The sequence below is a fragment of the Homo sapiens genome, chromosome 1, assembly GCF_000001405.40.
Source record: "Homo sapiens chromosome 1, GRCh38.p14 Primary Assembly".
Taxonomy (NCBI): domain Eukaryota; kingdom Metazoa; phylum Chordata; class Mammalia; order Primates; family Hominidae; genus Homo; species Homo sapiens.
The window spans coordinates 803,177-815,253 of record NC_000001.11 but is presented as its reverse complement, the minus strand read 5'-3'; the positions used below and the strand labels follow the sequence as shown (position 1 = coordinate 815,253).

General features: G+C 39.3%; 1 long non-coding RNA gene across 1 annotated transcript in view; it reads right to left on the bottom strand.

Moving 5' to 3' along the window:
• Positions 1 to 5,188: 5,188 nt before the first annotated feature.
• LINC01409 (long intergenic non-protein coding RNA 1409) overlaps positions 5,189 to 12,077 on the bottom strand; it is a 31,268-nt gene continuing 24,379 nt past the window's right edge. Inside the window, exons 3-6 of the long non-coding RNA NR_187359.1 lie at positions 11,032 to 11,335; positions 10,288 to 10,478; positions 7,931 to 8,037; positions 5,189 to 5,596 (exon numbers count right to left, since the gene is read on the bottom strand). This is a non-coding gene — a long non-coding RNA (long intergenic non-protein coding RNA 1409). The remainder of the gene's footprint in view (positions 5,597 to 7,930; positions 8,038 to 10,287; positions 10,479 to 11,031; positions 11,336 to 12,077) is intronic.

Sequence of the window (12,077 nt, the reverse complement as noted above, 5' to 3'; positions counted from 1 at the left end):
ACTTTTACCCTTGATAGTCACTATTTAGATGTTAAATCTTTGGCTTATATTTTTTCCCTTAAATATCTTAAATATGTTACTGAACCTATTCTATTCTGGACCTGTAATCCCTACTACAAAGCCACTCACGAGTCCAGTTTTCATCATTTCTGATTTTACAGACATGCATTCTTAAGGGGGAGGAATTTATAGAACTGGAAGCCATGTTAATATCCTAGTCATGAGGTGGCTGAGATTTAGTCTGTCCAGGTAAGATGGTGCAGGTAGGGAGTGTGGTGGTCCAAGTGGCACGCGCAGGAAGTCACAGAATGTGGGAGGCATTGTTTTGTGTACCCTGTGCACAGAGTGTCTGATGCCCTTTGATAGGTTTGCGGCCTCATCTGGTGGACTTTCTGGCACAGCCCTTCCTCAAGGTTGCTGCATCTGAAGCTCTTTAAGACGGCGTTTCCCTTCTGCCAGATTGCACTCTGTGCACAGTGCAGTTGCTTCTCCCTGCGGAGTGAGATGGGCCCACATTGGCTGTGGCTCCACCTGGCCTTGGTGCTCTTGCCGCCCTCTGCTCTGCTGCTCCTTCATGTAATAAGGGTGTGTTAAGAGTCCGTAAGTGTGTCGTGTTAGATGTTTAGGAAGGAAATGTTAATTCTGAAAATAGGTTTCACATCTTTTTTTTAACTTATATAAAATTGACTGGACTTTCTCTTCTGGATTATCTTCTTATAATTAGAGACTAATAACACACTGATACGAAGTAGCTTTATATCAGGAAAATGGATAAACGTAAACATTTGCCTACCAGGAGAAAATAATACGACCTGATTGGAAAATGTACAGATAAAAAGCTAAGTTTAGTAGGTAGCCATTGATGAACACAGTGTGACTTAAGACAACAACTGGGGATTGTTAGAGCAGAGATTGTAGCTCCCTTCTGGGGAGGAGCTGACCAAAATGTCGTCCAGCTCCTGCTTGACAGAAGAGGTGCAGCCAAATTGATCGAAAGGAAATGTCAGAGGAGGCCAGGGTGGGAATTATCAGCAACTGTGTCTGAGGATTTGTTCCACTTTGTTTTGGTTTTGGTGAAATTATCACAGTCTGCATGTTATATGACCTTGGCACTTAGAGTCATGGCAACTTGTTGCATTTATGCGAGATTTTTTCTCCCTAAAGTCTCTTCTGTTTGATAGCATATATGTACCTTTCATAATCAATATCAAACTGAAGTAGCTTGAAAAGATAGATAATTTTATTCATTTTCTGGGATTCCATAACCACAAACTCGGTGGCTTAAAACCACAGAAATGTATGTCCTCACAATTCTGGAGGCCAGAAATCCAAAATCAAGGGCTCGGCAGGGTTGCTTCCTACTGGCAACTCAGGGAAGTTGAGTTTATGAGTATGTATTATTTTTTATTATGTGTAGTGTAGTACTTTAATAATTATTAAAAATTAAATCATTCACAAATGTTGGTCATTTTTCTTACTGGTAACAAAAGTTTTGTGACATATCTTACAGCAATATAGTTAAGAACTGATGCCCTTGATTAGCAATTTTAAAAACTGGAGGCTTATCCTAGCCTGTCTTATTTTCCTAGACTTGTGTGGAAATGATTTGAAGATGATGGCCCATAACAGCACATTTCTGTAAAGCCTGTGCTTAGAACCCTAGAGTGGTCTGGGAGATGAAGATTAAGACCTTGTTATCCATCTCTTAAGGGAAATACCATCAGAGGAAAATGCAAATCTTATTATAGGTCATCACTAGAATGAGGATTGTAATTTATAGAAATTGGGGTTTAATTATGAGAAATAGTTCCGTTCTTGGCTCTCGTTTACTTCTATTTGGAGTTGTTTTGTTGATTCTTCTCTATTCTCTTCTCTTCCTTTTCTTGAATGGAAAGGAACTTGGAAAACTCATGCCCTGTCCTTGGGCTTGTCAGAGGAAACTTGGAATGTCATTGCCTTTTGGGCACATTTGCAAGCAAGGGGGTGACATATGCTGTGGTGCAGCCTGGGTGTGGGGAGTTAAGGGCTGTTAGCTCCATCATTCAGACATGTTTTAAGTTTATGGAAACTCTGTGTTTTATACAAGTGCGTTTGTGCCCTGTGTTTTCCGCTTGTGTTGTATAACGTTCTATTCTTTGTTTTTAACACTTCCCGCCCCCACCCCATCCCTCCGACATGCACCTCAGACAGCATGAACAAGACAAGCTGCTACTTCCTCTCCTCTCTTGCACACTGTTTATCTTTAATTGCAGCAAAATACACATAACATAAAATTGCCTTCCTAACCATTTTTAAATGTACAGTTCAGTGGTGTTAAGTACATTCACATTATTGTGCAACCATTACCACCATCCTTCTCTAGAACTTTTACATCTTCCCACACTGAAACTCTGTCCCCATTAAACGCTAACTTTTCATTCTCCAGCACCCCCAGACCTGGTAACTGGCTTTCTGTTTTCTGTCTGTATGATTTGACTTTTCTGAGTACCTCACATAAGTCAAATCAGACAGTATGTGTCCTTTTGTGACTGTCTTATCTCAGCGTAACGTCCTCAAGTTTCAGCCCTATTGTAGCATGTGTCAGCATTTCCTTTTTCAGACTGAATAATATTCCATATTGTGTATAGTGTACACCACATTTTGCTTATCTATTCATCCACTGATGGACATGTGGGTTGCTTCCATGTTTATCTGTTGCAAGTAATACTGCTATGAATGTGGGTATACAAGTATCTTTCATTCTCTGCTTTCAGTTCTTTTGAATATATACCCAGAAGTGGAATTGCTGGATCATATGGTAATTCTGTGTTTAATTTTTTGAAGAACCTCCATACTGTTTCCTATAGTAGCTATACCATCCTCCATTTCCACCAACATTGCACGAAGGATCCAGTTTCCCCACATCCATGTCAATACTTGTTAAACTTTCTTTTTTTTTTTTTAATTTGCCAGTAGCCTCATAATGAGCGTGAGGTAGTATCTCATTGTAGTGTTAATTTGCATTTACCTAACAATTCGTGATGTGGAGCATCTTTTCATGGGCTTGTTGGCTGCTGTGTCTCTTCTTTGGAGAAGTGTCTGTTGAAGTTGTTTGACATTTTTTAATCAAGTTGTTGGACAGGTTCCCTTGTTTTTAAGTCAGAGTAGGTGATGTTTGTCTTGAAGGTTATAAAAAGAGAACATGTTTGCTATGACATGTAGTTGATTGCTATGAAATGTAGTTGACACATGCAGAATAGAAAGATTTATAAATTAAATACTCCTTTATTAACATTTTAATGTGTCAAATTTAAATTTCAGAAGCATTCATCTTTCTTCTCTACTTGTACATTTTTGTTTACCTGACAGTGTAAAACCCACAACCAAAAAATAATGGCTTTTTCCCCATTTAAAATACTTTGTAAAAATAGTAGCCTAGTTGTCATTTGTGAGCCCAGGCTTGGTCCTCAAGTCTGACATAGACTCCCCAAGGCCCTAACGCTGAAGTTCTCTGAGCCCTACCACTGCCCAGGCAGGCCCAGGAAGTGTCCCAGCAGTGCCCAAGAAGGTCACCTCCACCTGTGGAATCCACAGTGTGGGTAGCCCCCAGGGAGCCACAGCCATGTAGACCCAGATTCACAGGAGGATGCGGTTACTGCAAGCATCTGAACCTGGCCCCACCACCTATGGGCAGAGTTGGTTCCAGCTCAGTGTGTCCATGGGATGTCTTTAGGTTCACCTTGCTTTTCTGTCCCACGCTCACATGTTGGAGCTAAGCTGCATGGAGTGTCGTTCTCCCTGTACATATGAGATTAGTCAGCAATCCTGTCTCCTTCCATATTCTGTCTTTATTTCTGCGACACTATTTCTGGAGAACATTGTATTTGTGCTTTTCCTTTGATATGTTTGTAATTTTCGTTAGAAAACCCTTTTAGATTCTAAAGCTTCTACATTCAGTATTTCAATCAATGATAACAAACTGGTGTAAGACTAAATATAAAATACAAACACATTTCCATAAATCAACACATTTCCATAAATTGCTGTTATAATGTCTGCCACAAAAAGTTCAGTTGTTTGTATGTTTTTCAAATGTGCTTTGCTTGTCTTGATGATTTACAACTGTTGGCACTGCTGTTTAAGTCTGTTCTGACAGTGAGAAAGTGACTCATTTGGCAAAGTCAGCTGTTTTTTACTAAAAGTGAATAGTGGTGAGTGGAAAGGGGCTTGTATACAATTTTCTTGTCAAAGAACGATGACCGGCAAATAAGCAATTTTAGTTCCTTGGATTTGAGCACCACTCTTGCATGCCTCCACCAACCAGCTTGTCTCCACAGAGCTTCCTTCCTCACTTTACACTGAAAATCTGTTATCAGTGTGTGGAAAATAAAAATTTTACACATCTTTAGTTTTGAGGATGTGGATTACTATTTACAGGTTTTTTTTTTCTGTAAGGAAGACATTTTTTTAAAAAGTAAAAGGTGTTCCCATTGTTTAGTTATTGCCTTATGATTTGATTTTCTTGTTTCACAAAGAACAGCTTTTAATTAAACGTATTTAAATAGTAAAAATATACATGTCACTTCACCTGGTTCCAGTTAAATGTGTTAACAGTGTATGTGGTTGGTGCTTAATAAAAACATGTTCAGTGCAGTAATAATTAACTTCAGTTAAACCCTTAAACATATAGGGAGTAAACAGAAATGTTGAGTGGTTACTCAGCATGGGGTAAGGGACACATCAAGTCATTGGTCAGTATTGGGTATCATCATGTTCTTACCATCTTTTTTCTGGAGTTTTAATAGTTGTTTTTTAAAAAAATCTCTGTTTTAATAAGCCATTTTGATGTTTGAAACTACCTTGGATAAGCATATCAAGACCCTTCAGAGATTCTAAAACATGTTCAGCACTTTCTGGTACAATATTCTCAAAGAACCAGGATACATCTTATTTCTCAAAATGAAACAAAAATGTATTAGACATTACCCCTGTGATTTCAAGCCCACAGTCTGTCACTTTGAAGTATTTGTATCCTTTTACAAAAGAAAAGCCAAATGAAGATCTCCCTGAAAAAATATTTTAATAGAATATGTCTTTATTTCAGTATCTTAAATAGTGAAGATGGAGAAATAGTCAATAATGAAGAGCATGAATATGCATCCAAAAAAAGGAAAAAGGACCATTTTAGAAATGACACAAATACTCAAAGTAAGATCATTCTCATTAATTTTATTTTACTTGTTGATTATGTTGAAATACTAAATTACTCTGACAATGCTATCTTATGAAATAAAAGGTGATACAAATATGTAAATAACAGCCCAGTATCCAGCATTGCCTACATATTTAGTGATCAAACTTTTTGCAGCCCAACGTTTCAGTGGGTAAGATGTGCAAAAACAAAATAAGAGATAGCAAAACCCACAAAACAGCCCATGAATCTGAATGCTTGAATTATGGTCATGAATTCAGCTCAATCTTGAGCAGTGAGGCCAAACTGAGAGGTGTCCTGACTTGAGTTTCGAAGTCACTGAAGATTCAGAGCAGGAGACAGACATTCAGAGCTGGAGTTTAGGATGTTAGATGGCAGCAGGGGAAGGCTGGAGGTGGGACCTATCTGTGAGAGGGCATAGCGTTCTATCATGCAGCATATCTGTGAGTTACCAAGACACATGTTAATGTATAGTAGGCTTCCTTACCTCAGGGGATAGACCTCCAGTGGATGCCTGAAACTGTGGATACTACCAAACCTTATGGATACTATGTTTTTTTTTCTGTATATACACACTTATAATAAAGTTTAATTTATAAATTAGGTGCAGTAAGAGATTAACGAGAATAATAATAAAATGAAACAGTTATAGCAAGATGGCCACCATCACTGCTCTTGCACTTTGGGGCTATTATGAAGTGCAATAAGGGTTCTTTAAACACAAGCACTGTGATATCTCAACAGGTGATCCGATAACCAAGACGGCTACTGAGTGACCAAGGGGCGGGTAGTGTAGGACTCGCTTGACAAAGGGAGGATTTGCATCCCAGGCAGGACAGAGCAGGACGGTGTGAGATTTCATGACACCACCCAGAATGGCACACAATTTAAAACTTATGAATGGTTTATTTCTGGAATTTTCCACTTAATGTTTTCAAACCAAAGCTGACTGTGGGTAATTGAAACTGTAGAAGATGAAACTGTGAATACGGGGGGACTACTTTATGAAGAAGATAGGGTCACATGGAGAATACAGTTAGTGTGATTCTTGAAACTTTTAAGATTTATCTGAAAAATTTGTTTCTATGGAGTACTATACACAGCAACAGAAGAATAGAACTTTTTATTAGGGTACATAGGAATGTAGTAATGTAATTGCATTTTATAATCATTTATGTCTTCATATGGCTTCAGTCATTAATAATACTAATTTTCTTCTAAGTTACTAGGACTTGGTACTGTCTGAAATCATTGTTCATATCTTAAACTGATTTAAGAAACAAAGCAATTCTGTTTGCATTCAACCAAGTAAAAGCATTTCTTGTCAATATAGTAAGTCAGATAATTTTGTTAATATGTCCAATTATTTAAATTCCTTTAAAATCTTCATTTTGAAATGATTTGCCAGATTTTAAAAACAAAGGTAATTTTTATTCTAGGTTTTTATCATGAAAAATGGATCTATGTCCATAAAGAAAGCACAAAAGAAGTAAGTATTCTATTATAAATAAGAGAGTATCTTGGATTGTTTCTGTTGAATATGGAGTCACATTAAATAAATGTATTAATAAAGTTGCATAAAACACATTTCTTTTGCAATATCAGATCTATGGTTCACATTCTGACAGATAATAGCATATGAGGAGCTTTTGAGGCAGTGATTCTCCATTGTGTGTGCTTGCATGTGCATGTGGTATGTGGCTGTGTATTTGTGCACACATTGGTGTGTGTTGTGTGTATGGTGTATGTGTGTTGTATGTATGGTGTGTATGTATGGTTGTGCATGTATTTATGCACACATTGGTCTGTGGGATGTATGGTGTGTGGTGGCATGTGGTATATGTGTACAGTGTGTGGTTCCTGCCTACCTGTACATATCTGAGTCAACAGCAGGGCTATTTAAACCAAGCATGGACTCCTGCAGTCATACGCATTTTCTCTGTGTTAGCATGAACCCCTGATGCTGATGGGAATGTGTCCTCCCTGTGGCGTGTTTTGGAGGGCAGGGCATCTGTGAGCCCTCTCATTCCACATAAAGAGTGGCTAACATGAAATTAGTAATTGGGTTGGGTTTGTGCAGAGCCATATGAACTCTTTCCCTGCCTTTCTTTTGCCAAGTTGGGCTAAAGCTTTTTCATGAGCCATAAAACAAACCAGAGAGCTTCAAGCTGTTTCCTGTTTCTTTACTAGGATCCGGGAAGTTGAGTTCCTTTTATAGTCCTAGAAACTCTGCATTTGCTTTATTTTGCAACAACTGGGGAAAATAATTTAGGGAATTACTGTCTATCGTCTGTTATTTCAGGGTAAGTTAAATATTCCAGAAATGTTTGTAGATGCTCTGAAACTAGTCCAGCTTCCAAGAAACTGAAGGATTAGATTCTGAGAAAGAAAACTTAATCTGTTTGGTTATGGTTAGTGGGTATAGAATGAATCAGATCCTTAATATACACTCGAATACACCATTAGACGATTATTTGACAGAATCTAACCTAGTTTGTAAAAAACAAAATTTAGTGCTCATGAAAGACCATTAAATATTTCATCTGCTCTGTTGCCATACTGATTACAGAACAGAGGATCCCATCCAAGCTAGCATATGCAGGAAAGGAGGATCTTATTGTGAGGCTGTGGGGATGTTCCCTGGAATCTTAGGAACCAGGACCTAACAAGGCTGAGAGGGACCAGAACTAGGACTGGGTGCTGGTGTCCCTGCACCACGTCATGTCTCCACACCCTCACCTGGTATAGAGCAAGTGCCTGCTGCTTGTCCATGCTGGCTGGTGTCTCACTGCTTCCGAGGTTACATGCTGTGGTTCTAGGTCCAGACATGCTCTTTGTGGTCTGCTCTGTGAATCAGATTTAATTTCCTTTTGTGAGATGGGTGGTGACCTTGGAAAGTGTCTGCTACACCATCGTGTGGAATATCAGCTGTGATGGATTTCAGATTATAATCTATATCAAAATGAGTGTTTCCTTTCCCCAGAGTTCCCAGGAAAATGTTTTCCACATAGCAGGCACTCAGTCAACATATTTGGATGTTTTAAATGAGTATATTTAGTTGAGTTGTGCACCCGTCAGGGCGATTGGGGTTGGCGCACAGAAGCACATGAGCCTCTGAGTGTATCGGCTGTTAGAGACAAAGGTGCTATGGCTCCAGCTGCTTTCTCTAGGACATCTCAAGTCACCTGTTTGGAATTTGAGACCAATCGTCTCATGTTTTCTATTATTGTTTTCTAGCTTACTTATCTCTACAACTTTGACCTGAAAATCTGTAGATTTTAAATATTTCAAATATGGAGGATGAAGATGGAGTTTAAAATGACTTCTGAAACCTAATGTGCTAATCTATACAAACCAATACAGGATAAGGGTATATCATGGAAGAAAAACATCTAAGAGAATAGCAGCAGTGTTTACAGTACTGAAAATAAATTGTTTCATTTTCTTCCTTCGGTTCTTGGACCTGTGGGTCTAAGCACCAGTTTTTTTGGTGTTTTGGGTTCTTGGCATCCGTGCTCCCAGCCTGAAAGCTGCCCGTGGTCACATCCAGCACTTGCCTTCAGCCCTCTCCATCCCAATGCTGGTTTTCAGAGGCACCTTCTTGCTACCGAAGCGCCTCTCCCAGCCCTGACCCTTGTGGTTGAGCATACTTCCAGCCTGGGCAGTGCATGGCTGCTCTGGAGAGAAATCCCATGTTACACTTCAAACTCGGGCAGTGCATGCCTCCCCTGCAGAGAAATCCTGTGTTTCAACTAGATATTTGTAACACCTACATCCTTACAATGCAGTTAATCAGATGATTTATGTATTTTTAGTTGCGTAGCCTAGAATGAATCCAGTTTTTTTATGATCTTAGCTTTAACATCGTCCACACCCCAGTTTGTCCCCAACAAAACAAACCAGCAAGATATTTAATAAATATTTGTCTTTGTCATTACTTCAGCAGGTTGTAAAAAATGTCAGTTAATGGTGTCTCAGGTATACATAAACAGCTTAAATTATTAGCATTGCTACAATTTTACTATACTCTCATCTAAATCTAAAATCAGTCTTCAAAATAAAAACAAATTGTCCTTTGCCAAAAATTTTTTTAATCGCACAATTAATTGACATTAACTGCCAATTCTTTTTGGCTAATTGACTAATTTTAAATTCTGTGTTGCTCTTCCAGAGGCATGGCTATTGCACCTTGGGAGAAGCCTTTAATCGGTTAGACTTCTCAAGTGCAATTCAAGATATCCGAAGGTTCAATTATGTGGTCAAAGTAAGTGTTCTATTTCAAAAACTACTTTGATGACTCTTTTGAACAACTATATTTTGAAGATTGTAAGTGTACAACGTTTAAGATGCTTTTGGCAGCTTGAAGGTGTGCCTGTTTGCTGTGTATTAATCGAAAAACAGAAGGGAACAAGTTCAGGAGAAAACAGTGAGGTTGGAGGATTTCTCCAGTATTGGTGGCAGAGGTTGCAGAGCCTCAGTGGGAGCAAACACTCATCTGCCCTGTGGCTCTGTGGTTGCTGAGGATGCCACAAGGTGGTCCCTTGGGGGTTGTACCATGTACCTACATACTGTGTCAGTGATAGAACGGTCATGGGATCTTTACCTGATGATTTCACGAATGTTTTCTGCTTCGTGTTTTTCACAAGGAATGAGGCTTGTGTCACAGAGGAAGAAGTAGCTAATAGAAAACAGGAATTTCGTACAAAATAGAATTCCACAAAAGCCTTATTGCATTAATGTTACCCTTTTGGAAGAAATTTTTATCTTGGGCCACACTCAAAAAGAAAGGATCTTAGCCATATATTCCATTTATTGTTTGCTTTTGTCCAAAGATTAATTACTATGTGGTTTATGCACCTTCATTCTATTATGGATAAAATAGAAGCTATAGTTTATGAAGCTATTAATTTTGTGTTTCTAATGGTTCTGTGAGACATTGGAAAAATGTTTCTTTTAATTGCTTTTAGGCATTTGAAAGTGCTACTGGGAGGACAGAAAATTTAGGGAGTTAAATAATTGTAAGCCTTAGATAATGTTATTTGTTCAGTTTGGTTCTGAGCAGAATTTCCAGGGCTGCTGATGTAACTACTACTTACAACTCCTGTTGTGCTGCATGCTTCACTGAAGCCCAGCCACCACGTGCAGGCTGGACTTCCCCGGTGTTTTCTGAGTCCTCCTTTAGATATTTACACACTGGCCAGCAGGGTGTTCTCGATAGGTACCTTTCTTATAGATGATGAAACGCAGATTTGACTCAGCCTTGTGGAAATTTTCAGGACTTAAGTAGCTGGGAAAAACATCAGCAGAGAGGTCTGTTTAGCAGTAGCTATTTCTCCATGTAGCTCTCTGATAGTTCAGACCATACTGAGTTGCTTTATAGTAGCAATTCTTGACCATCTGTCTACATAAAAGGATTTAATTCCTGGTGTGAGTGAGAGAGTAGGATGGAGCACAGGAGGAAGTCATTGGCTCCTGGTGGTTTCTGTGCTGGGTGCCCTGCTCTCTCATCTTTGGTCACTGACTCTGGAGAAGGTGCGAGTATTCTGTGCTTTGTCAGAGGGGGAATCCATAGACCAGGACCAGCATTTTATCAGTTTCAGTCATTTGGACGACTGCATAATTTTTTTTTTGTCTGTGTACCACATACTACTATAATTTGCTGGGTAGCTTTTCTTCAAATTTACTTTTTTAAACAGAAATACCTACTTTAGCCTCATCCTAAACACTAATACCTGTGAAATGGTAAATTTTCTGTCGGTCGTTTGTCTAGTACATATAAAATAAATGCATAACTATAAAAATTAAAATGTGCTGTGCACTCATGTACCAACTAAACTTACCTTGCAGCCCTCTTGAGAAGGGCTGTGTTTCTCCAAACCACCTCTCAGAGGTGGAGCGAGGGAACTGGTGAGCTCAGGAAGCAAAAGGGCTGCATTGTTGCATGGCTGTCCCGGCACCCTCACAGGTCTGTGCATCTCTGTTGATTGCTGCCTTCCAAGCAGGGCCTTGCTTGGCTTATCTGTGCTCCTGCTCTGTGGGAATCCCACCTTCCCTCTCCTGCAGTCGCTCTGGACCTTGCACACCATTCTTCACAAGTTCAGCAAAGTTACCTCTAAAAAGTAATTTGCTCATGCTTACCTTCTGCTAAAAACAAAAACAAGAAGCAGCCTTTGTGACTGTGGTAAAGCCTGAACCTGTGTCTTGCCTTGGATTGGGCTCCTCCATGTCCCCATCCCAATTCTTGCCCTCCCTGGCCCATGCCCAGTGCCCTCTTCTGTTGGCTTTCTTTCAGTGTGTGCTATTTTTTTTTTTACTTTATCATATGCATTTATCATACATACTGTGCAGGTATTTGGTATTTTTTTGCTGTTTTAAATGTTTATAGCAACACTTACTACAACAACTGAGAGGATTGTCTTGCAGTTCTACTAAATAATTTGATTTTCCATAATTTAGGCTAAGTTGTCCGTAATGTCACGCAGTATTATTAGAATACCTATAAATAAGAAATGTAGAAGCATTTTTAAAAAATGCTTGATAAAAGGTTTCCTTTTTTTCTAATGGCATTTAGTAATATCTGCCCTTAAGAATTTGTGTGAAAAACTTAATGTGTATCTTTTTTTTTTTTAGATGGAGTCTCACTCTGTTGCCCAGGGTGGAGTGCAGTGGCACGATCTCTGCTCACTGCACCCTCTGCTTCCTGGGTTCCAGTGATTCTCCTACCTCAGCCTCCTGAGTAGCTGGGATTGCAGGCATGCACCACGATGCCTGGCTAATTCTTTTTTGTATTTTTAGTAGAGATGGGGTTTCGCCATTTTGGCCAGGCTGGTCTTGAACTCCTGACCTCAAGTGATCCACCTGCCTCGGCCTCCCAAAGTGTTGGGAT